General features: G+C 53.0%; 2 protein-coding genes and 1 non-coding gene across 44 annotated transcripts in view, besides 1 other annotated feature; 1 reads left to right on the plus strand and 2 right to left on the minus strand.

The window, feature by feature from the left end:
• Window positions 1–4,128: 4,128 nt before the first annotated feature.
• On the plus strand, window positions 4,129–24,570 carry LRRC71 (leucine rich repeat containing 71). 17 transcript variants are annotated; one of them, XM_047447397.1, is made up of 16 exons: window positions 4,129–4,460; window positions 4,921–5,186; window positions 7,446–7,595; window positions 7,921–8,049; window positions 8,140–8,215; window positions 8,435–8,512; window positions 10,699–10,767; window positions 10,993–11,152; window positions 11,230–11,313; window positions 11,412–11,501; window positions 12,777–12,926; window positions 13,133–13,226; window positions 14,026–14,114; window positions 15,410–15,524; window positions 15,921–16,042; window positions 16,350–16,591. In XM_047447397.1, the coding sequence occupies exons 2-16, from the start codon at window positions 5,108–5,110 to the stop codon at window positions 16,464–16,466; spliced, it is 1,602 nt and encodes a 533-aa protein (XP_047303353.1). In that variant the 5' UTR covers window positions 4,129–4,460; window positions 4,921–5,107; the 3' UTR covers window positions 16,467–16,591. The 17 variants fall into 17 exon arrangements, 16 of the variants coding, with proteins under 16 accessions (XP_047303353.1, XP_006711248.1, XP_005244983.1 ...); XM_006711185.4 differs by having other exon boundaries at window positions 5,099–5,186; XM_005244926.4 differs by lacking the exon at window positions 4,921–5,186.
• Window positions 11,418–11,477: a silencer, noted in NCBI's record as "silent region_1441". NCBI's record gives its function as "represses an Ori minimal core promoter by ATAC-STARR-seq in GM12878 lymphoblastoid cells {active_cell/tissue: GM12878}" and the evidence as "EXISTENCE:reporter gene assay evidence [ECO:0000049][PMID:35858748]".
• Window positions 18,337–24,854, minus strand: part of ARHGEF11 (Rho guanine nucleotide exchange factor 11) — a 112,064-nt gene continuing 105,546 nt past the window's right edge. For 21 of the 26 annotated variants that reach the window (XM_047435301.1, NM_001377418.1, NM_014784.4 and 18 more), the window contains 6 exons: window positions 23,704–23,922; window positions 23,045–23,407; window positions 21,915–22,010; window positions 20,746–20,993; window positions 20,313–20,502; window positions 18,337–19,555 (listed from right to left, as the gene is read on the minus strand). In XM_047435301.1, coding sequence (XP_047291257.1) covers window positions 19,497–19,555; window positions 20,313–20,502; window positions 20,746–20,993; window positions 21,915–22,010; window positions 23,045–23,407; window positions 23,704–23,922 — 1,175 coding nt within the window. In that variant the 3' untranslated portion in view covers window positions 18,337–19,496. The remainder of the gene's footprint in view (window positions 19,556–20,312; window positions 20,503–20,745; window positions 20,994–21,914; window positions 22,011–23,044; window positions 23,408–23,703; window positions 23,923–24,854) is intronic. The other 5 variants (XM_047435294.1, XM_047435306.1, XM_047435300.1 and 2 more) reach the window with 1 other exon arrangement.
• On the minus strand, window positions 19,628–19,741 carry MIR765 (microRNA 765). The gene has a single exon (NR_030527.1). It is a non-coding gene; the product is annotated as a microRNA 765 (primary transcript).

Raw genomic sequence — 24,854 nt, forward strand, 5'->3', positions numbered from 1 at the left:
CCCTGAGACACAACAATATTGAAATGAGGCCAATTAATAACCCTACAGGGGCCTCTAAGTGTTGAAGTGAAAGGAATAGTCACACATCTCTCACTTAAAATCAGAAGCTAGAAATGATTAAACTTAGTGGGGAAGGCATGTTGAAAGCCAAGACAGGCTGAAAGCTAGGCCTTTTGCACTAAATAGCCAAGTTGTGGATGCAAAGGAAAAGTTCTTGAAGGAAATTATAAGTGTTACTCCAGTGAAAACATGAATAATAAGAAAGTGAAACAGCTGGCCGGGTGCGGTGGGTCACGCCTGTAATCCCAGCACTTTGGAAGGCCAAGGCAGGTGGATCATGAGGTCAGGAGTTTGAGACCAGCCTGGCCAACATGGTGAAACCCTGTCTCTACTAAAAATACAAAAAATTAGCCAGGTGTGGTGGCGCGCACATGTAATCTCACCTACTCAGGAGGCTGAGGCAGGAGAATCGTTTGAACCCGGGAGGCGGAGTTTGCCATGAGCGGAGATCATGCCATTGCACTCCAGCCTGGGTGATAGAGCAAGACTCCATTAAAAAAAAAAAAAGTGAAACAGCCTTGTTGCTGATATGAAGAAACTTTTAGTGGTCTGGATAGATCAAATCAGCCACAATATTTCCTTAAAAGCCAAAGCCTAATCTGCAGCAAGACCCTAACTCTCTTCAGTTTTATGAAGGCTGAGAGAGGTGATGAAGCTACAGAAAATTTAGAAGCCAGCAGAGGTTGGTTCGTGAAGTTTAATGAAAGAAGTTTAAGAAGCCATCTCCATAACATAAAAGTGCAAGATGAAACAGCCAGTGCTGATGTAGAAGCTGCAGTAAGTTATCCAGAAGATATAGCTAAGACAACGATGAAGGTGGCTCCTCTAAACAACAGATTTTCAATGTAGACAAAACAGCCTATATTAGAGGAAGATGCCAATCTAGGACTTTCACAGCTAGAGAGAAGTCAATGTCTGGCTTCAGAGCTTCAAAGGACAGGTGTTAGGGGCTAATATAGTTGGTAACTTTAAGTTGAAGCTAATGCTCATTTACCATTCCAAAAATCCTCAGGCCCTTAAGAATTATGTTGATTATTTAGTGTGGCGTGGTGGCACATGCCTGTAGTCATAGCTACTTGAGAGGCTGAGGTGGGAGTTTCGCTTAAGGCCAGCAGTTAGAAGGCTGTAGTGAGGCCAGGTGCGGTGGCTCATGCCTGTAATCCCAGCACTTTGGGAGGCCAAGGTGGGCAGATCACGAGGTCAGGAGATTGAGACCATCCTGGCCAACACGGTGAAACCCTGTCTGTACTAAAAGTACAAAAAATTAGCCGGGTGTGGTGGCGGGTGCCTGTAGTCCCAGCTACCTGGGAGGCTGAGGCAGAAGAATCAATTGAACCCAGGAGGAGGAGCTTGCAGTGAGCCAAGATTGCGCCACTGCACTCCAGCCTGGGCGAAAGTGTGAAACTCTGACTCAAAAAAAAAAAAAAAAAGAAGAAGGCTGTAGTGAGCTATGATCATCATCACTGGACTCCAGCCTTGGCGACAGAGCAAGATCCTGTCTCTAAAAAGAAAAAAAAAAAAAAGGCCGGGCATGGTGGCTTACGCCTATAATCCCAGCACTTTGGGAGGCTGAGTGGGGAGGATCACTTGAGGTCAGGAGTTCGAAACCAGCCTGGCCAACATGGTGAAACCCCATCTCCACTAAAAATACAAAAAAAATTAGCCAAGTGTGGTGGCGCGCACCTGTAGTCCCAGCTACTGGAGAGGCTGAGGCAGGAGAACTGCTTGAACCTGGAAGGCGGAGGTTACAGTGAGCCAAGATCGTGCCACTGCACTCCAGCCTGGGTGACAAAGCACGAATCTGTCTCAAAATAGATAAATAAATAGAAAAGAATGCTAATTTTACCCTGCCTGTGTCCCTGTGCTCTGGAAAAGGAACAAAGTCTGGATGATAGCACATCTGTTTACAGCATGGTTTACTGAATATTTTAAGCCCACTATTGAGATCTACTGCTCAGAAAAAAGTATTCCTTTAAAAATATTATTGCTCCTTGACAATGCACCTGGAGATGTACAAGGAGATTAATGTTGTTTGCATGGTTGCTAATACAGTATCCATTCTGCAGCCTGTGGATTGAGGAGTAATTTCGACTTTCAAGTCTGATTATTTAAGAAATACATTTTGTAAAGCATGAGTTGCCATACATAGTGATTCCTCTGATGGATTTGGGCAAATTCAATTGAAAACCTGGATAAGATTCACCATTCTAAATGCCATTAAGAACATTTGTGATTCATGATGGGAGGAGGTCAAAATATTCATGCTAACAGGAGTTTGGAAGAAGTTGACTCCAACCCTCATGGATGACTTGGAGGGGCTCAAGACTTCAGTGGAGGAAGTAACTGCAGATGTGGTAGAAATAGCAAGAGAACTAGAATTAGAAGTGGAGCCTGAAGATGAAACTGAATTGCTGCAATTCATGATAAAAGTTGAATGGATGAGGAGTTGCTTATGGATGAGCAAAGAAAGCAGTTTCATGAGATGGAATCTACTCTTGGTGAAGACGCTGTAAGCATTGTTGAAATGACAAGAAATGATTTAGAATATTCCATAAACTTGGTTGATAAAGCAGTGGCAGGATTTGAAGAATTGACTCCAATTTTGAAAAAAAGTTCTACAGTGGGTTAAATGCTATCAAACAGCATTGCATGCTATTGAGAAATCTTTTGTCAAAGGATGTCAATCGATGTGGCAAACTTCACTGTTGTCTTATTTTAAGAAATTGCTACAGGCACCGCAACCTTCAGCAACCACCACCCTGATCAGTCAGCCGCCATCAACCTCAAAGCAAGGCGCTGCACCAGTGAAAAGATTATGACTCACTAAAGGCTCAGATGATAGTAACATTTTTAGCAATAAAGTATTTTTAAAATTAAGGTATGTGCATTGGGCTGGGCGCTGTGGCTCATGCCTGTAATCCCAGCACTTTGGGAGGCCGAGGTGAGAGGATCACTTGAGGTCAGGAGTTCAAGACTAGACTGGCAAACATGGTGAAACTTCGTCTCTACTAAAAATACAAAAATTAGCCAGACATGGTGGTGTGCGTCTGTAATCCCAGCTACTAAGGAGGCTGAGGCAGGAGAATCGCTCGAACCTGGGAAGCAGAGGTTGCAGTAAGCTGAGATCATACCACCGCACTCCAGCCTGGGCGACAGAGTGAGACTCCGTCTCAAAAAAAAAAAAAAAAAAGTTATATGCATTTCTAGACATAATGCTATTGCACACTTAACAGACTACAGTATAGTGTAAACGTAATTTTACAGGCACTGAGAAAAACAAAAGCGGTGTGACTCACTTTAATGCCATATTAGCTTTATTGCAGTAGTCTGGAACCCAACCCTTAGAATTTTGGGGGTATGCCTTTACTCAAATGGGGCCCACCAGGGCAGAACCATCAGGGTCTAGAGTAGGAGTCAGGTGATGACTTTGAATCCCAGGTTTGTAAGGAGTGTGATTCACCTTATTAACTCGTTAGAGGATTAACTGAGTCCCCAGAGACCTCCAGGAGGCTAAACAGATGGAGGTCGAGAATATAAACCTAGCACCACACCAACTAGATGGGTTTCTCTAGACGCCTTTCACCAGGTGCTCTCTCCTTACTGGACAGCGGGGTGGACTCTGGAGAGTGGACCTGCCCCCACCTGGATTCTCCCTAGTATCCTCCGACCGCCCACTACCCCACTCCCCCAGGCTCCGCCCCGATCCCCCAGGCCCAGTTCCAGGATGACTTTGGATTGCCCGCCCTCGCCCTATCCCTGTCCCCGCTCCCGTCCTAAGATCCACTCGTTTCCTTCGCCATGGCTCCGCTCAGGTCCTAGGTCACCCTAGCCCTTCTCTCTTAGCACAGGCTCGGCCAGCCCTGGCCCTCTGGGACCCATCAGCTCCTGCGATCTCTGGCCGGCCTCGCCCTGCCTGCTCCGCCGGGCCTGGCCCGCCCCTCGGGTTCTGGCTCCGCCACCCGCCCTCGTGGGCTCTCCCCTCGCCTTGCTCTGCCCTGCGGCGCCCCCTGTCGGCCCCGCGTGCTCTCTGCGGTTGCCCCTTTCCCTCGGGCCCGCCCGCCTCGCGCGGTTGTCTTGGAGAGGGACGCGTAGGCTACGCCACCGCGGACGGGTCGGATCCGGTCCCTGGACGCGGAACAGAGATCCCCTGATTCAGCCACCCCCAGACTGAGCCCCGTAGAGTGCGTTCTTACCTTCCTGCCCCGACGAAGGTCCCAGAGACGCTGCGGACAACACCAGCATGTCGAGCGAGCAGAGCGCGCCGGGGGCCTCACCCAGGGCCCCGCGTCCGGGGACCCAGAAGTCTTCTGGCGCGGTGACCAAAAAGGGAGAGCGCGCGGCCAAAGAGAAGCCAGCGACCGTTCTGCCTCCCGTGGGGGAGGAGGAGCCCAAAAGCCCTGGTACGCTGGCGCCGGGGTTTGGGGATCGGGCTTCCAGGCTGCGTCTTCCCGGGTTCCCACTAGCTACTCACTGCTCCAAGGTTATGGCTGAACTCATACATACCTACGTTGAGTTCCTGAATCTCGGCTTGATAGATGTTTCAATTGAACTTGATCTTAAAGAACCCACACTCTGGTTTGGGATGGTGACAAATACCAATAAGATGTGATAAGATATAGAAGAGAGGAAGGCCCAGGGGGTGAGGGCATCAGGGGTGTTGCCAGGAGGTGCCTTTGAACAGAGTTTACAGATGTTCATTCATTGATTCAACAATTACTTTCCAAATGCCAGCCATGAGGCCAGATATGTCACGGAGGAGAACGAGGTGGACACAGTCCTGCCCCCATGGGGTTTACATCCTCTGGGAAAAGAAAATGAGTAGAATGGTATAAGTAGAGGTATGGCCCTTTTTGTTGCAAGTGATAGAACCCCAATCAAACTAAGCATGAAGGGGAAATGTATCCGAAGTCTTCTTGATACAAATCTGCCAGCTTCGTCATCACGGGGACAAGAACTTGCTGTCTCTGGAATCGAAGTAAAACAACTTGGGAAAAAGATCTGATCATCCAGCATTAGCCAGGTACTATCTCTTTGTCAGTGCTGGTGGATGGGGAGAAGGAATTATAGGAGCTGGAGAAACAACATCTTCTGGAAGGGAAGACAAGACAGTATACAATCCCCTACAGGTACGAAGCCAGTTACATTCAAAACACACACACACACACACACACACACACACACACACACACACACACACACAGACATGGCTGCTGTATAGAATACAGGGTGGAAGGAGGCAAACAGATGAGTTACCGGACTATTTCAACAGCCTAGTCTGGGGACAGTGGGAGTTGGGATAGGGCAGTGAGAATGGTGAGGCTTGGTTGAGTTAGGCTCCTCAGAGAAACACTTTTGAGGTAGAAGTAATAAGAGTTGGCGAAGGACTGGACAGGGTAGGGAGTGAGTGACAGAGCAAGAAAGATTCTGAGGCTTCTGGACTGGGCACTGGGTGGGAGGAAGTGCCATTCATGGAGATGGGAAAGGCCAAAGGAGGTGCATGTAAGGGAGGAGCTCTAAGGGGTGATGCCAGCTGGACAGCTGGACACATGGGTCAGCAGTGCCTGAGAGGTTAGGGGTGGAGTTGTGACTTTGGGTGAAGTTGTGACTTTGGGAGCTGCTGATGTTCTGGCATAATTAAGTCCTGGCAATGAAAGAGACCCCTCAAGGAGGCAGGGAGTATAATTAGAGAAGAGGAGAGGGCTCAGGATCCAGCCTTACAGGTTGTAGAGGATGGCAGGGAAACCTGAGCAGCCAGCAGAGAGGTAGGAGAGAATGGGAGTGATGCCTGCACAGGCACCTGGATAGGACAACATGGAGGTCATGGTGGCCTTAGCAGACACCAACTGTGTGCTGTGGCAGGGGCAGATGTGGGCTCGTGTCCGGTAGAGAGTGATGGCTGATATAGGAAGGTGTAGGGATTTAGAGGAAATCCTATCTAATGGCTTTTATTTCTGAAGAAGCTACGAGGTGAGATCATTAGTGAGCATAAGAAAGGGGTGTGGAAGGGGAAAAGAGCTGTGCTGTGTGACAGGTAACTATCTGCTAAAGTGCAGAGAGCCCATTTCCATCCAGGCATGAAGTACTACAGGGCAGCGCTCTTTTAGAGCAGGGCTTCTCAAGGTGTTGTCCTTGGACCAGCAACTTCAGCATCATCTGGGAAGTTGCTAAAAATGCAAAATCAGGGCTCTCACCTGGGCTACAGAATCAGAATTTCTGTAGGATAGGGCCCAGGAAATTGTTTTAGCAGGCTCTCCAGGTGATTTTTAAGATGTTAAAACTTGAGAATCTCTGTTCTTGAGAAGGGAGGTATGAGTGAAGCAAGGAAGCATGAGGGGCTCTCCCAGCAGAGGGAAGTTTGGGAGGGCAGGGAGGTGTGCAGGAGCCAGCCAGACCAGGGGGTCACTGCAACCTCCCTATGCCTTCTCTTACCTGCTTCGCCCATTTGGCTGTGCCTGGGTTACCACTGATGGCCAGACACAGGAGGAAAATGCCTCTCATGCCTTTCCCCATGAACCCTCGAGCCTCTCTGCATCCTGCCAGCTCCTCCACTCCCTCAGGCAGGCTCCCTACTGCTGAGCTGCAGGTGTCCCTCCTGGCACAGCTCCTGCAGCACCTGCCCCTGTGGCCAGCGTGCTGTTCTGTGGAGCTCCAGGCTGTCCGGCACTTGGCAGGGACTCCCATCCTATCTCTAGGAGCCACTTCTTCCTGGGATGCCTATGGTGGGGAGCCAGAAAGAGCAAGTGTCCCTTGAAGACTCAGAGTCTCAAGTTTGCATAGCACAGCCCTCAGGTTGGGATGTGGTGGGCGCGTGTGAATTAATATAACTCAGAAATGAGTTAATATTTCTAAAGCATTTCAAACAGCACTGGACACTAGGAAGTGCCATATAAACACACTGGACAGGGGAAATGTTAAATAAAAGTATCGTTCTGCTGCTCTTGGGTGTATGTGTAGGGAAGGAGTGGGAGTGGAAAGGAACTCACATCGGGCCTGCGCTTTCTCCCAGGGACCCTGAGCAGTTCCAGCAGGGAAGGAGGACTTGTGAGGAGGAGGCTGGGCTGGGGACACCTGGGAAAGGCGGAAGCCCGGGCTGGGAGTGGAGAGCAGGGGTGGCAGTCGCTTTGACCTGGGGGTGGGGAAGCCAGCACACAGAAGAGGGGACCCCGTTGTCTACCGTGCACGCACGCCCGTTAGTCCCCTTTCTCCGAGCTCTTGCTTTCCCCGTTTCCTATCAAGTGTTTTCAGCGTCCGTACTTCCAAGCGTTTGCAAGTTGAATGGCTGCAAAAATATCCGTCTGAGGAGGGCCCCTCCGCCCGCGCGGGAGAGCTTGGGGATGCGGGGGTGGGCGTGGCCCCTTCTCTCACGCCCCTGCCTGCCCCCGCAGAGGAGTACCAGTGCTCCGGGGTCCTCGAGACCGACTTCGCCGAGCTCTGCACGCGGTGGGGCTACACGGACTTCCCCAAAGTTGTCAACCGGCCCCGCCCCCACCCGCCCTTCGTCCCCTCCGCCTCTTTGTCGGAAAAGGCCACCTTAGGTGAGTGACAGTGGAGCTCCCCGGTGCCTGCCAGGGCCGCCTAGTCCATCCTCAGCCTCCCTTCCCACGCCGGGCCAAATGGAGGGACGCGGGGCGGTGTGTGTGTGTGAGTCGGCGGTATTCGACGAGGCCGGTGGGGAGGTGGGGGAGTCTCCCGTCTTCCTTTCCAACCCAGCAGAGGCGCGAGTGGCCGGAGAGGCAGAGTCCGCAGGCCGGCGCCTCCCCTCTGGCGGTGTCCTCCAATCCCACCCGGGCACCCGTGGGCCGGCCCGGCGTGGGGCCCTGGAGGTGGCTGTTCCCCTCCCTCCTCACCTCTGCCTTCCAGACGATCCGCGGCTGTCGGGGTCCTGCAGCCTCAATAGCCTGGAGAGCAAATACGTGTTCTTCCGGCCCACCATCCAGGTGGAGCTGGAGCAGGAGGACAGCAAGTCAGTGAAGGAAATCTACATCCGCGGTGAGCCCCGCTCCCCCCACCCGCCCCAGCTCCCTCCCGCTCCCCTGGAGCCTCCCAGGTCTGAGGCACCTGCCTCCTCTTGGCCCGCAGGTTGGAAGGTTGAGGAACGGATTCTGGGTGTCTTCTCTAAATGTCTGCCCCCGCTTACCCAGCTACAGGCCATCAAGTGAGAGGCACTGAGGGGATGGGCGGGGGACCAGAGTGGGAGTTGGGGCTCCTGGTGGCTTGGGAGAGAGAACCAAGGGGCATGGGAGACCCTGGCGACGGTGGGGAGGTCGGGGGTGGGGGATGAGGAAGGGCACCGCTGGGAGAACGGTGTGGGGAGGGTTTTCCAGTAGGAGGGGGCGCTCTAGCTCTGTGTTTCTGCACTTCCCGCCCACGACAGCTTGTGGAAGGTGGGGCTGACCGATAAGACCCTGACCACCTTCATCGAGCTCCTGCCTCTCTGTTCATCCACGCTCAGGTCAGCAGACTGGGAGGCCCCCTGTGCCTGGGAAGCCTGGCTGGGCGGGTGGTCAGAGGGGAGCAGTGTGGGGATGGAAGTGGCAGGTCCCAGCTCCTGTGGGCCTGCCTGGCATCCCTGTGGAAGCAGAAGCAGGCAATGTCTGTTGGATCATGATACCTCCATTAGACAAGAAGCCAGGTCCGCTTTTCTGCCCACACCAGCACCCAAAGAGCCTGATCTTCAGGGGCTCAACCTGTCTCCCCTGCATTAGTCTCATTACCCTCCACTCCCTCCCCAGAGGTTCTCGCTCTCCTTCCTGGCTGCCTGGGGCTCTGGCCCTGTACTGGGGGCTGGTAAGAAACAGTTCTTATCCTCCAGGAACTCGCAGTCCAGGGAGGGAGAGAAAAGGACACAAGAATAAATACTGCAGGGCAATGTGGAGACTGGTGATGGAGGACTGGTTCATCAGAGGAGGGAGTGGGCAGAGAGAAGTGCCACCCACTTTATGGATGTGAGGCAGGAAGACCTGGAAGACTGCCTGGAGGAGGTGGTACTGAGCTGAAGGAGGCCTAGGAGCAGGCCAGAGAGGGAATTGGGAAAGGGTGTACTTGTATGGGAAGGAGCAGGAGCAAGGCATGGGGCAGGGTAACTACAGGTGTGGTTGGGAGTGTAAGGGGCAAGGCTGATTTGGCCCTGCCCCTTCTCTAGGCTCCCACAGCACCCTGCCTCTTCTTGCTTCATGGTGGCGGGGGGGTACCCCTCCATGCAGTGGCTTGCCTGTCTTCCTCCTGTAGATGGCATGGATGCTCCTTGAGGGCAGGGACTGTGTCTTCTTCAGCTGGGGGTCCCCAGCACTCTGTGTAAAACACCATGAAACATATTTCCTTCCATCATGGGAATTAGCTAGCAGAAAACAACTATATGAATTCATCTGTAAATAATGTGTAAAAGTAAATCATAGCAACATAAACAAATTTAAACTGAATAATCAAGTTTATGTGACAGACGAGGCAGGCTGAAAGGTTGAACAAAATAAGAAATCATGGGAGCAAATTTTTACATAGCGTCATTTCTAGCCATTAGTTCAGTTTTTGCTGTGACTTAGAAAAGGACCTCCATTCTTACAGCACTGTTAGAGAAGCAACTGCCATGTGGAGGCTCATGTTGTAGTTATCTCTTGCTGTGTGACAAATTAACCCCAAGATTCAGTGGCTTAAAAGGACATACATTTATGATCTCATAGCTGCTGTGAGATGACCTGGGGGTGGGCTAGCTGAGTGCTCTGGCTCAGGGTTTGAGGTTGCGGTACAGCTGCTGACTGTGGCTGCACTTACCTCAAGGATCAACTGTGGTGGAGAATCTGCCTCCAGGCTCACTTATGTGGCTGCCTGGGCCTCTCCACAGGCTGCCTGAGTGTCCTTACCACATGGCAGCTGGCCAGCTGAGAGAGTGCCAGAGAGCACTCAAGACGGAAGCCACCGCCTTTGTAGCCTAAACCTGGAGGTGCTGTCCCATCTCTTCTGCCATGTTCTGTTCATTAGAAGTGAGTCACTTATTTCCCTCCACCCCACCCCCCACCTCTTCTTTTTTTTTTGGAGACAGAGTCTTGCTATGTCGCCCAGACTAGAGTGCAGTGGCACAATCTTGGCTCACTGCAACCTCCGCCTCCTGGATTCAAGTGATTCTTCTGCCTCAGCCTCCCAAGTAGCTGGGATTACAGGTGCACGCCACCATGTCCCGCTAATTTTTTGTATTTTTAGTAAAGACGGGGTTTCACCCTGTTGCCCAGGCTGGTCTCGAACTCCTGAGCTCAGGCAATCTGCCCGCCTTGGCCTCAAAAAGTGCTGGGATTACAGGCGTGAGCCACTGTGCCTGGCCAGAAGTGAGTCACTTCTAATGTGAAGTCCACACTCAAGGGGAAGGAATGACACAGGGGCATGAGTTCCAGGAGGTGGGGACCACTGAAGGCCATCTTAGGGGCTACCCTACCATGGGTCACCAACTTTGGGGAGCAGTCCCTTCACAATGGGCACATCTGTGAATTTTTAGTCTGGGGAATTGTCACATATATTTCCTATATTGGGGGGGCAATCCTTTGACTCTACTTCCTAGCTGCTTCCCAGAGACGCACACTTCCTCTCTGTTCCCTTCCCTTACCTGGCCTCAGTGGTACCTTCTGGTTCTCAGATCTCCCCTGCCCTCAGGAAGGTGTCTCTGGAGGGGAACCCACTGCCGGAGCAGTCCTATCACAAGCTCATGGCCTTGGACAGCACGTGAGACTCCCTGCCCTCACCCCCTTTCTCTGGGCCTGTCTCGAAATTCCAAGCCATTTTTAGTCCCCGCCCTTCCTTGTCCCCCTACCATCTCGGCAAGGGCCCTCGATTTCTGCCCCTACATCCTCAGACCAGACCGCCCCCTCAAGCGCTCAAGTCTCCCATATTCCGGCGGACGCCCTGTACCTTTTCCAGCGACCCACATTCTCCCTCCGGCTGCCCCAGGATTGCGCACTTGTCTCTGCGGAACAATAACATCGACGACCGCGGGGCGCAACTCCTGGGCCAGGCGCTGTCCACGCTGCACAGCTGCAACCGGACCCTCGTCTCGCTCAACCTGGGTTTCAACCACATCGGTGACGAGGGCGCAGGCTACATCGCGGACGTGAGTGCACGGCGGGGAGGGACCTGCTGGGAGCAGGGGCGGCTTGGGCGGCTCACGCGTCCCTGCCCGCCTCTTAGGGCCTCCGGCTGAACCGTTCCCTGCTCTGGCTGTCCCTGGCCCACAACCGCATCCAGGACAAGGGCGCCCTGAAGCTGGCTGAGGTGGGTGTGCCGATCAGGTGGGGCAGGGGCGTGGGCGGGCCGAGGGAGCCGACCCTGACTACCCAGGCGTCCGACCGCTGAGCGCCCGCCTCCTTCAGGTCCTGCGCGCCTTCGAGCTGACACACACCGAAGTGGTGGAGCGCCGACGCCTCCTGCTGGAAAAAGGGACACAGGAGCGCTCGCGATCGGTGAGGAGCTACCAGGCCCCAGGACCAGCCGAGAGCCCCTCTGACCCTCGAGCCCACTCCCCAAGTCCGCTGCTTTTCAGCAAACTGGCCATCCAGTTTAATCTCCACCCTCTGTCCTGACTGTCTTTCCCTCCGATTTCTGCACAGACTTTTGCCAAGCCCCTGCTGGGGGGGCTCTAATTGCAGAACCACACTATGGGCAGTAGAGTGTACTGGTTCAGAGATAGGACACTAGATTGAGACCACCTGGACCTGAAATCCGGCTCATCCATATCCCAGCTTGTAACCTTGGGCATGTTACTAAACAACTTCTTCTTCTTCTTTCTTTTTTCTTTCTTCTTTCTTTCTCTTCTTCTTCCTCTTCTTCTTCTTCTTCTTCTTCTTCTTCTTCTTCTTCTTCTTCCTCTTATTCCTCCTCCTCCTCTTCTTCTTCCTCTTCCTCCTCCTCTTCTTCTCCTTCTTCTCTTCTTCCTCTTCCTCCTCCTCCTCTTCTTCCTCCTCCTCCTCCTCTTCCTCTTCCTCTTCTTCTTCTTCTTCCTTTCTTCTTTCTTCTTCTTACTTTTTTTTTTTTTTTTTTTTTTTGGGAGATGGAGTCTGGCTCTGTTACCTGGGCTGGAGAGCAGTGGTGTGATCTCGGTTCACTGCAGTCTCTGCCTCCTGGGTTCAAGCGATTTTTCTGCCTCAGCCTCCTGAGTAGCTGAGATTTCAGGTATGTGCCACCATGCCCAGCTAATTTTTGTATTTTTTAGTAAGATGGGGTTTCGCTATGTTGACCAGGCTGGTCTCGAACTCCTGGTCTCAAATGATCCGCCCACCTCGGCCTCCTAAAGTATTGGGATTACAGGCGTGAGCCACTGCACCTGGCCTGTGTTACTTAACTTCTCCTTGCCTTAGTTTCCTCATCTGTAAGTGGGGATAGTTGTACCTATTTCATGACTGTCGAGAGGATTTAAAGACTCAATTCCTGCAATGCAGTTAAAATAGCACCTGGCACTTAGCTCAATAAAAGCTGTTATTTTTTCCCCCTCAATATAAGTCTGAGACCCTGCCTCACCCTTCATCTCACCCCACCCAGGTCCCTCTGCTATTTCTTCCCGAAAGCATCTCACCCCAGAGGAGTCCTATACAAATTATTTTAGCATTTAGGCAGGGAGGTGGGTGGGAGGGTGCTGTCAGCTCGACTGCTCCCCAAGTATGGGTATAGCTACCTTTCATGCCCCCATTGAGGAAGGGGCTCTGGCTTCTTCCCCCCTTCCCTCCCATTTGTGAGCACAGCCCTCCTCCTCTCGACACGGGGACTCCAAAACGGACCGTGAGAAGAGTCAGATGGTAGGGATCAGCAATAGTGCATTGGTGGACAAGACAGACAAGACGCAGACAATGAAAACCCCTAAGGGCCTGGGCAAGAAAAAGGAGAAATCATGGGTAGGTGTGCAATGGGACAGATCCTGGGTGCTGGACGGACAGGGGAGGGGGCTTCCATCATGTACAGAGGTGGTGGAGGGAAGAAGGCCACATGGGCCTTTGAAGTTCCCCCTAAGGCCCCGGGTCCTAACCTGGGCTCCTTCCCTCACCACTGCCCATCCCCTCCGGAGGTGGGACTTGCCCCTCTCTTCTCACATTCTCCACAGGAATTGGCCAAGAAAGAGGAGAAGTTGGGGTCTGGGCAGTCACCCACACAAGGAACCCCTAAGAAGGAAGATGCCACAAAGGCAGGCAAGGGGAGTAAGTGCGGGTGCCCCTGGGTGGCATCTTCCTGTGTGGAGGAGGGAAGAGTGCCGGGCCGGGTGCAGGAAGCTGTTCTGGGCCTGGGTGCGCCTGCCTGGAGCTCATCTCGCCATGCCCCTCTGGGCTTGATTTCCTTCTCACAGTGGGATGATGTGGAGAGCCGCATCCAGCCCAGACATCCTGACCCACTGCTGTCCTCATTCCCTTTGTTGGAGCTGGAGCTCTGTGGCCCTGTCTTCAAAGAACCCATACACCTAGCTGGGGCCCCCTCCAGCCATTTCTTTTTTCTTTTCTTTTCTTTTTCTTTCTTTCTCTTTCTTTCTTTCTTTTTCTTTCTTTCTTTCTTTTCTTTCTTTCTTTCTCTCTCTTTTTTTTTTTTTGATGGATTCTCACTCTGTTGCCCAGGCTGGAGTGCAGAGGTGCAATCTTGGCTCACTGCAACCTCTGTCTCCTGGGTTCAAGCAGTTCTCCTGCCCCAGCTTACCCAGTAGCTGGGATTACAGGTGCGTGCCACCACGCCCAGCTAATTTTTGTATTTTTAGTAGAGATGGGGCTTCACCATGTTGGCCAGGCTGGTTGCGAACTCCTGACCTCAGGAGATCCTCCTGCTTCGGCCTCCCAAAGTGCTGGGATTACAGGTGTGAGCTACAGCGCCCAGCCCCCTCCAGCCATTTCTATTGCACCCAAACCCAAAGTTGGGGGGTCTCTTTGCCTCACAGCCTGTTTTCTCTGGGGAGGGAGCCTGGGTGGTATCAGAAGTGTGCACTGTGCATTCTGGCTCCTCTTCTGGCCCCAGAGGTAACCATCCCTGAACAGAAGCCAAGCAGGGCAAAAGGGATCAAGATCGGGAGCAGAGAGAAGCGCAGCATCCTCCTGGAGTCCGAGGTAAGTTGCCAGGAGGAGTGGAGGCAGGGGGCACACCCCTGGGATTCCAGGCTTGCCTGAGACGTCTCACCCCAGCCCCTCCTGGAATGTGGTCTCCAGCCCCATGCTGTGGCAGCAGCCATTTGCCTTCAAATTTGTCCTCCACTCCTGTCCCAACCTCACCTGAAACCCCCTCCCATCTCACCTTGGGCTTCTGTGGGAATAACAAGAGCAGACCCCTTCTATTTTTCCTTGTCTATTAGTAGCCCACACTTTGGATCTGCTGTCTCAACTCAGCCAGGCTACTTCCCCAGAGGCCCAGAGGCACAGAGGCCCTCAGTTCCTCATCACCACCTCCATCACTTGCTTGGACTGTTGCATAGGAACAATGCGTCTTCTTTTTTGCCCCTCTCAGCAGCTCCCTGAGGAAGGCAGGGCATTTTTATGGTCATGGCACTGCCCCACGCTACCCTGTGCATGGGTCCTTCTTCAGACCCTCTCTCTTTTGCCCCTGGATCTTCTCTGCCCCCTTACAACCTGGACCAACTTGCTGCTTGCATTGGAAATCTTCCTGGGCTGCCTTCAGTGCTCTTATGGTCCCTCATCCCTCCGTTCTGTCAGCTGCCTGAGCATCCGCCTCTCTTTATTTTTCTCTTCCATTGGAAGACTCCCTGCACACCCTAGGCAGGGAAGGGCCCCTCTCCTTTCAGGAGTCTTCTCTGGCACTCAAGACAAAATCTTACAAAAGAGGACGTTCAGAGGGAGGAAGAGATTGGGGTTGCCTTTCAGTTTCCATTTTTCATCTCTGCCTCTGTCTTGATCAGGCTGCTGATTGTACTAGGACTACTGCAATTTCTTTTCATCATGCCGTCATTGTTACTTCCCTCCAATCCATTCTCCTCATTGCTCTAGGTGTTGGGAAACACTTAGTAAAATCTGAATGCGACATACTGTTTCACGCTTCCAGAGCCTTTGCACCTGCTTTCTTTGCCTAGAACACCTTTCCCGTCTTCATCTGACAATATCATGTGCGTTCACAGGAGGCCCTTCCTGGCCTGGCCTTTTCCGTGCTCCCACAGTGCTCTGAGCTTGCCTCTGTCAGCGCTCACTCCAGACCACGTTACTTTCACTTTCTGGCTCCTCCACACAAAGGAGCTTCTTGAGGGTATGGGCTTATTTATTTTTGTATCCCCAGCACTTGGGACAAAGCCTGGACTATAGCCGGCAGTCAAAACATGTATGTTGAATGAATGAATGAATGAATGGCCTGTTGACCAGCTCCCCTGCTGTCTGCTGCAATTAGTATTCTGCTTTAGCAGCTGGTTGTTGAGGCTACTGAGGTGGTCAACCCTCTCCTGGAGCCTGTGGAGCACCGAGATGGGAAAGTTTTCATGCCTGGGAACAAGGTCCTTTTGCACCTCAACCTCATCCGTATGTCTGCCAACCTCCCCTGTCCTCCTGTCATGAGGCTACCCGGGCCCTGTCCTGCCTGAGGGTGTTTACCCCGACTCTATGGAGCAGAGCTGGTCCTCCCATCTTTGGGCTACATGTCCCCCAAGGCTCTCTGGCACAGGGCTGGAGGGGCCAGAGGAAGTGCTGAGTCTGGGAGGAGGCTGAGGACAGGCGATTGGAGTAATGAGAGGAGTTAGAGAGATGGGGAGTGTGTGAGTAAGAGCTGAGTGAAGGGCTAGGTCAGGGAAAGGTGTGCCTGGGCCAGTGAGTCTGGAGTGGGGAGCTGGAGGAACTGGGATGCTGGGGATGTCTGGTGTGTCAGGTGCCAATGAGGCCTGTGGTGCTAAGAGGCCACCTGTCTGTAACTTCCACCAGGGAACCGCATCACAGAGGTGGGGCTGGAGGGCTTCCTCGCCACGGTGCAGTATCAGATGCAGTTCTCCAAGGCCAAGAGTGCATCCAAGGGTCCAGTGGGGCTGCTGTGGCTGTCCCTGGCTGTGAGTCCCTTTCACTCTCTCCTGCTGAAGCAGACGTTGCCCCTATCAGCTGTCATACTAGACAGCTGCTGCAGGCAGCTTCTGTCTCCCCATTTCCAAGGAAGGTCTGTAGTTTCTCTGCTTCTTTTTAATAATCACAACATAACCTCCATTCCTCTTGCTGGAAAATCAGCAGTATTAATCACTCTGCTTTTTCTGCATGTCCCCCAGCCCCTAACCCACCCTGCCCCAGGACCATTTTTTTTTTTCTGCCAGAGGACTAATCTTCATTCCTCTTGTCAGATGTCAGCCTTCCTTTTCTTTTCAGAAAAATTGCTTCGCCCCACAATGTCCTGCGTACGCCATAATCCAGGAGCTGATGTTGCCAAGGGATCCCATCAAGGCCAAACTCAGGGAGGATGAGGCCATGGCATTCTTCCCCTAGCCCCCTCCCACCTGCTTGCCTCTAAGACTCGGGGCTACAGAAGCACCTCCTGTCCCTGTGTGGGGTGACCTCCCTGGGGGAGATCTCAGACCAATAACAAAGTCTGTTGCTATACTTTTCCTTGAGGTCGTCTGAAAACTTTCTTCCAGAACTACTTGGAACATTTAGATTTTGCGTCTGTCCATGTTACATGCCAGGAATGGCAGAAAAGTGGTCTGAATTACAGTTCCGCTGGGGATGATCTCAGCTCCTCTGGCCTCAGTTAGCCAGGGGCATTGCCGTTCTGCCTCCTGGGGGCTAGTTCTTCCTTGCTCAGGCAATAGCCATTCCCCCACCGTGTTCCCTAGGGGACATGCATTATGCCAGGGTTTGCATTCAGAAGGATTTGGGATAGGGATTAGTAACTGACACACATAAGCTTGGGAGGGAGTGGGAGCAGGAGTAGGTGAAGCAGAGGAATTAAGCACAGGCTCCATGCCCGCTCCCTTCTGCTTCCCCGTCTGGCTGGCCCAGGTGTTTGACTGCTTTGGAGGAGAGGTAAGGGTTCAGCTTAAGAAAATGAACAAAGGCTTGGCAGGCCACTTTGGAGAGGGTGCTAAACGCTCAACATCTACATAGCAAAGGCTAAGCATTGAACATGAACCCTAATAACCTGCCTGCAGAAGTCAGCAATCTGAAACCAGAGGTTCCTGAGCTGAGTCAGGGTCCCCAAACCTTTACCCTTCAGTGCTGCCTCCATTGAGGTCACCTGCCAGTGCCCAGAGAGCACAGGACTGGCTTCGGGGAGCCTACCTGTAAACCTATACAGCAGTGTCCAAGATGGCGCAGATCAGCAAAGACCAGCCTTTCTTCCTCACTTCTAAGCAGATTCAACCTGTTCCACATTCTCTAGTCCTACTTCCCTCATCCCACTGCCTCTGCCTACCTAGAATTCCCTTGTCCTGCTGTCTTACTTTGTGTGGCTCAGTGGCACCTAGGCCTGTCTCCTGCCTCTGAGTGCCTGGAGCCCTCCTAGTCTGACTGTCCCAGCTCTGTCTCTGCAGCTGGCTGTGGAGCCAGCTTCACCAGGGAAAACCTATCATTTCTTTGAATTCCCAACACTGAACACATTGAGGTGCTGGATGATGGTCACCCCAGCTTCTGCAGGGAAACTTGCCATGTCCTCCAGAGCTTCAGTGACCCTTTCAGCCCATATCTTTATCCCACCCTTCATCACTAATGACTCCTGTATCAATTCTGATGCCCAAATAGACTGTACCCTAATGAGGACACAGCTGAGGATTGTGAGAGGTAGAGGAGTCAGGGTTGGGCTGGAAGAGACAGAATTTGTCACTTTAATCCAACACTGAATGCCAGGAGACAGAGGTGAATGGTTACAGTCTTGGTGATGTGGCTGCGTCTGTGGGAGGATGTGGATGGATGATGACAGTGATGAACTGGCCAGGCCTGAGGCAACCCTCCCACTTAGATTTGGCTTTTAAAGTCTTCAAGCTCATTGAGGGCAGCTCATGAGACCTCTTGACTCTGGGTCCACTGCTCCTTTATATACACATATATGTGTATATATATGTGTGTGTGTGTGTATATCTATATATGTGTGTATATATATGTATCTATATATATATCTGTGTGTGTGTAACTGAGTTCAGTGTCTTGTCATGTTTTCTCCATGGGGGTTGTACAACTTAAGTTTGCCCAGTCCCTAGTTCAGTGAGTGCACAGCTGAAGCTCTGGGAGGGAACAGGCAAGATCTGGGTCTGGGGGTGAGAGGGCTCCCTCTGGTTCCCACTATCCAATCCTAACCAGTCTTACAGGGAACAAACACCGTACCTTTTATCACAGCGATTCCAAGAAACACACACACCACCACTGAAGGATATTTAACTTTTCTTAAAAAAAAAATCTTAACCATGAAAGGAAGAAAATAAAAGAGTATACATTATCTTAACAGCAGAACAGTCATTTCCATATCTATATTTTATATATTATATATATATTTATATATATATATATGTATATATACACCTAGCACAGTGTGTATATTCTATTCATCAGGGAGAGTTGGGTGAGGACGTGGTGATGGGGCCAATGCTGCGGTGGCCCCTTGGATGGTCCTGGGTGAATTCAGGGACTCGGCATTCAGACCCCTGTCCCCACCTCCTGGGGCCCAGTCCTCAGCTCCGTACCTGCTTCACTGGTTTTCTACAGGGACAGGGTGGGGAAGAGGGGGACATAGGTGGGGTAAGAAACCCCCATGATCCCCATCTTGTGAAGATGAGAAGTCCAGGGAGGGAGGGAGTAGCTTGGCAGCAAGCTGTGGAGGGCAGGCTCTGGAGCCAGGTGGGATGGGGAGCCAGAAGACCTTCCCACTCACAGGGACAGGAACACTCAGGCCTGGCTCCCGCTTTAGGCTCGATCCTGGAACTGGGTTGTTAACTAAGGAGATACAAGTGAAACCCCTCTTCCCTAAGCAGCTCCTTCCATAACTGCCTCCAGCACTTCAGGAACAGGAACAAAAAAGGTCAAAGTTATTTACAATAGCAAAGATGCACATACGATACATACATATTTATAGGAAACCAAAGTGACAAAGAGGGGAGGGGAGGCACCCACCTCTGCCTGGGGTCTTATGGAGAAAGAGGGGAGGAAGAAAGTGCATTTACACAGAAGCCTCCTCCTTTCACTTGCATGTCTGAGGGCAGCGCACATACAGGCGTGCGCGTGTACACACATATGTGGGGTGAGGGCAGACCATGGTGAGTGGGGGCCTTTCGGATGCAGTCAGCATGCTTAGGAGACATGAGGCCTTGGAGGGTTGGGCTAAGGGAGGGAAAAGACACTGAAACCTGACTCCGACTTGAGCAGACCAAGCAACATGCGGGTCTCCCCCCGGGCCTTGGCTGGATCCTAGTTTCCCTAACTGCCTCCTCCACAGGGAGGAGTGTTGGGATCCCCCCTACCCTGTGCCCCGGTCTCAGGCCAGTCCCTGAAGGAGGAGTGGGGACGCAGAGGATTTGGTGGTTTGTACGGTTATGGTCCTGGTGACGCGGCTGCGTCTGCTGTGCTGTCTTCCAGGGGGGCGTCAGAGCCTGTGGGAGGAGGATGAAGGTGAGGAACTGGCCAGCCTGAGGTGACCGCTTCCACATGTTTTGTCTAGAAAGTTCAGGCTCACGAGAACAGATCCTTCATCACCTTCCTTCTCCTCCAGAAACCCCAGTTTCTCGTAGGGCTTGAAAAGGGCTGTCTACTGAACTCCACTTTCATCAGCGCCTAAAGCCCTTAGGTCAGGTAGGTATGTGCCTTGTCTTCCTGAGTTATGACATAGCTGTGTCCCTGGCCCACCCAGTGTGGTTCTGAATCATTTAATCAGCACGAGTCTTAGGCCGACACCATGGTGTGCACCTGCAATCCCAGCTGCTTTGGAGGCTGAGGTGGGTGGATCACTTCGGCCCAGGAGTTTGAGACCAGCCTGGGCAACATAGCCAGGCCAGCCCTTGTCTCAAATAAATAGAAAAAAAAAAAAAAAAAATATATATATATATATATATATATATATAAAATTAAAAAAAGAACAAGTCTTAGAGGTGAGAACAGGCTCCTCCTGGTTTGTTACCTCCATAGCACAAGGAAAAAGAGGGCTCAGTGCTAAGCTCCCCATTTTGCCAGGGAGCTTCTGTGGGACTTCCCTAAAAAGATCCCTCTCTGAAGCTGAGAGAATGAACTCGTTTCACTCAAGGGGAAACCACTCTCAGAACCACCATCTCTCACTGCTTAGTGATGTGTCCTCACGAGTTGGCAGACTTCTCCCCCAATGGTAGGAACCGAGAGGGACCTGGCTTCACTCACCATCCTCAGGGCAGGGCCCCAGTTCATGGCTGTTCCTGGAGTCAGAAGCTAGGGGCTCCTTAGCGGGAGGTGAGAGGGAGCCATCTGTCCATCTAGCTGCTTCTGTGTGGAAACTGCCCACAGGCGTGGTGCCACCAGATGACTCTCCCCCAAGGGACTTGAGCAGCTCTCTGTGGGCCAGCTCCATATCCTGGAAGAGTCGGCGGGGGAATGTCTGCTCGAGTCCTTCTATTCCTAAGGCCCCTGGGGAAGGGGTCTGTGCTGGGCCTTGGGGAGGAGGGTGTGATTTAAGGGTGGCTGGGCGGGCTGGGGGAAGATCCCTGGGCCAGGACAGGATCTAGGGCTCCCGCGAAGACACACATCTCACTCATGGGGAATGGTTTTGGGGTGATGGACTGAAGGCCTGCAGGGACCCAAGCCCTGCTTCCCTCACCTTGAGCCTGTTGAGCTTGAGAGTGAGCTGCTCAATGGTATGGAAGATCATGCCCACGTCCCTGAGGGCCAGGCTTGGAGGAGAGCGGCTGGGGCGTCTTGGATCATCGTTGCCTCCCTGCAGCTGAGGCTGAGGCTCTGTCTGCCCTGCAGGGAGGCTGTCAGGCTGAGGGGGGCTCATGGGTGCCTCTGAGTGGTCGGTGCTTGAGTCCGGGGGTCCTGATGGCATGCTGACATAAAAGCAGTTCCCTGTCCCCACAGTAAGAGAATGAGATCAGGAGGCAAACAGAGAAGTCGAAGCTATCCTCCCGTTCCTGTGGGATTCCCCAGCCACCTGACAGAGCAGGCCAGGCAGTCCTCTCCAGACAAACTCAGAGAACGTGGGCCTTGCTCACTGTCTGCCAGCCCCCTAAAAGCCCTGCTCCCGAGACCTTCTAGATGACACTTGCTCAGTCTGGCCCCAAGCTGGGGGAGATGCTGAGCGATGAACTCAAGGGAGAAGTGGCAGAGCTGCAGTGTTTCATTTGGGGAAATTGGAGTGGCTCCCCCTCCTTGAGTAAACAGATTGTGAGCTGGTTTCAGGCTCTTCTGAAAGGAGCAGGCAGCAGCCCTCTTGCCCTGCCTGACTCCAGCTCTGGATGAACTACAGCCCTGCCCTGCCCCTCTTCCATCCATGCCACGATCCTCTGGAGGTCCCTTGACCCAACCAAGGGGTGTCAGAGAGAGCTGGAGGAAGGACGTGGAGGGTTCCTGACAGGCAGGAAGCACAGAGAACCACCGCGGAATCTGGGAGGCTCTTTCAGCCGATTTCCACAGTGACACTGGAGCGGCGGCTGAGGTGGGGAAGTGGCTGCTTGCATATCAGGTGAAGGACACTAGGTCCCCACCCCCAGGCCAGGCTTCCCTGCCCCTCCCACAATTGCACACAGGCATTTATCCCTGCCATTCTGAACAGGAGCCTGGACAGGTGGCTTCTTAAGGCTGGATGGACAGCCAGCCTTTAGAACCAGATCTCCCCGTCTTTAGAGCCAGATCTTCCTCCTCCCCATTCCAGGCAGCTGAGGGAGCTTGTGGGTGTGTGTGTGACCATGGGCAGGGGTCCGACTCTGCCCTCACAGGTTCCACACTCCAGTCTTGGCCTGTCTTTAGCTCCAAGGAGAAAGTTATTACCCGTAGCCTTTGTTCCGCCTTCCACTTCAGGTGGCCCAGGCTCTGACTGGCCACTCTCTGGTAGTGCAGGGACAACCTTGCTGCCTGCCACCTCAGCTGCACCGACACCACCACCACCAGGAAGAGGAGAGACCAAAACACAAGGAAAGGGAAGGGAGAGAGAACAGGAAGGAGAGAGGGCAGGAGGTGGGGACAGGGGGAGGAGAAAATGGGAAGAACAAGGTGAACACAAGATCATACACGATGACATCCCAGGCAGTGCAGAGAACTTTCCACCAATTCACCGAGAGACAGAGAAGGAAGGTCAGTTCCCAGAAACCCAGGAGACAGGTGGCCCTTGGGCAGATGGAATGAAAAATGCTGCTGGAAGGGAGGCAGAGTGGAATCCCAGGGGAGGGCAGGCCCACTAGCGTGGAACCCCATCCCATGTGTGCCCCAGGCTTTGTTCTACTTTTCTTGCCACCCTCTCAGACCAGCCCACTCTTCCCGGGGTGGGGACCTTCCTCCCTGGGCTCATCTATTGGCCTCCCTGTGAGCTTGTCTTGGCTTTTCTTGTCTCAAGGCCGTCCATGGTGTTTCCCAACCCGGGGTGCCCTCCCTGCCACCTTGTTCACTCCCCACATCCCTCACTCGCCAAATGTCTTCCCAGCTTTGTCCTCCACCCCTTCCAGTCCCAGCTGCCACCTCTACTGCCCTTGGAGCTGTTGCCTGGCGTGAGGGGCTGCATGCACCTGCCCTGTCTTTCCCGGCCTGAGGCTCCTGAGAAGAGTGGCTCTTTTCCCTGGGAACAGGAGATCAGTGAGGAGCACTAACAGAGACTGGTACTGGTAGTTGGTTTGTGCCAGGCAGAAAGAAATGTCCTTATGTGCTATAAAACAAAGTTCAGAGATGATTCAGAATTTTGTCTAAAGCCACACAGATATTAAGTGGCAGAGCTAAGCTCTGAATCTCGAATGTCCAACTCCAAAGCCTGCCTGATATCGGCGTTGTCTCCTTCTTCCAGGACCCAGCGTAGGTCTCTGCTCACACGGTACCCAGGGGGAGTATAGGGAAGGAAGCAGCTGTTCGGAAGACTTATCTCACCTAGCAAGGGTGCTTGTCTCCCCACTGGACACTCCCATTTATTTTACCTTTTCTCACAACTTTGTAACCTCCTGCTGCCTCTGTGCTTGAAGCATCTTCAGCCAGATTCCTGTCCAGTTCTGGAGACTCCCATATCCCAGAATTTCTGGTCCTTGGGGGTAGGTGTTCCAGAGAACAGAGACCCATGTCTTCCTGCTCTGGCCGTTCCCCCTCCAGCCCTGCAAGCTGGGTGTTGTCCCCTTCACCCCCAGGGGGTGCTTGCCCTGGGGAGCCTGGGTCCCAGGGGTGAGAGGTGACGCTGATGACAGAAGGTGTGGGTGTCAGGTCGTCCTCGGGCTCCTGGGCAGCCTGAGTTTCCATGGTGTGACCTGGCAGCAGGCTCCACAGGATCAGATGTCGCAGGTTCTCCACTGGAGGGGAAACAGGGTGATGTCTTCCCAGCATGGGACTGCACACCACGCCAGAAGGATCGTTGTACTGCCCCACTGACCCCAAGGTGGTGACCTCAGGCACAGGTGAAGCTGGAGGGCTCTGGCCAACTAGCTGGTGGGGGTTGGGTGGGGAATGACATCTGTCTCCGCATCCATCTCTCCTCAAGCACACCAGGAAGAGCCTTCGGGAAGGTGGAGGGTGCAGGCGCCTGCCAGTTCACACTGGGTGTGCGACTGGGGACCAGGGGCTGACGGCAGGGCCTTGAAGCACTCACCATCTTCCAGAGCGGAGTCAGCGAGCCCTTCCATGAACAGAGGGCCTGGGAAGGCCAAGTGGATGGGGTTCCTTGTCCTGATGCCCCTGTTCTCTCCATCCAGGGATGTGGAAGGGCAAGGCAGGACACCCAGTTCCTCTTCCTCTGCACTGCCCTCCTGCTCAGGGTCCTCTAGCAGGACCTGGTGCTTCCCTTGGACCCTCTGCTGGGACCCAGTGCCTGTTTCGGATGAGAGAAGATTGTAAGGCAGGGAAAGGGAGAGGGCACGTATGGGAGAGCCTATGGGCAGCTTTGGAGCCAAGGGGCTGGGAACACTGACTTATTCTACAGTTGTTTACTGAGAACTTCCCATGGCCAGCACTGTCCCAGGCTCTTGGCATACAACAGTAAGCAAAACAAAAAGATCCCTGCCTATGTTGAGCTTACATTCTAGGGGAGGGACATACAAAAATAAGACACTTCAGTCAATTATGTAGTTTGTTAGAAGGCAGTAACTTCCACCGGAAAGAAGAAAACAACAACAGGGCATGGGGCTAGGGGCTGGACAGTGCTGGCTACAGTATTAAACAGATTGGGCCAAGAGGACACTGGAATGAAGACGTGAAGGAGGTGTGGCGTTAGGAGGAAAAGCATTCTAAGCAGAAGGAAACAACAGGGACCCAGCCAGGAAACCCGAGATTTCTCCTGAAACCCAAGACCCCAGGTTATTTCTCACGCAAGCTCTCAATGAGAATGCTGTCCCCTCTACCAATCCCATCACAGTAACTGCATCTTAAGCCCTTTGAGCTCCCCAGCCCCGCCATGTTTTCCATTCTCATTGTTGCAGCATGTATCTCCCTCCCCAACAGTAACCCCTGGCTGGAGGATGCAGGGCCCGTGGATCCCGCCAGACTGCTCGTCTTCTTCCACAGCTGATGCCGTCACCCAGAGAGGCTGGGTGGGAATTTCTGGTCAGGTGAGCGAGTTCACCCTTTCTTAAGTCTGTTCAGTCTGCTCTCCTTCCTCTTCCAGACTCTTCCTCCCGCCCTGTTTCTTCTCTACTCTTTATCAAAACCTCACACCCCGGGCCCTGATGGACTCTCCCATCGCCCCCATACTCACACCCAACCTGTGCCTACAGAAAAAGGCCTGGGCTGGCTCCCACAGGACAG

Source organism: Homo sapiens, chromosome 1, assembly GCF_000001405.40.
Source record: "Homo sapiens chromosome 1, GRCh38.p14 Primary Assembly".
In the NCBI taxonomy this organism is placed as follows: domain Eukaryota; kingdom Metazoa; phylum Chordata; class Mammalia; order Primates; family Hominidae; genus Homo; species Homo sapiens.

Bases quoted from the DNA above. Each gene is read 5' to 3' on its own strand.
- LRRC71 (XM_005244926.4), top strand. From the start codon at position 4,301: ATGTCGAGCGAGCAGAGCGCGCCGGGGGCCTCACCCAGGGCCCCGCGT. The intron at 10,768-10,992 runs GTGAGACTCCCT...CGGCTGCCCCAG, and splicing joins CTCATGGCCTTGGACAGCAC to GATTGCGCACTTGTCTCTGC. The intron at 11,153-11,229 runs GTGAGTGCACGG...CCCGCCTCTTAG, and splicing joins GCGCAGGCTACATCGCGGAC to GGCCTCCGGCTGAACCGTTC.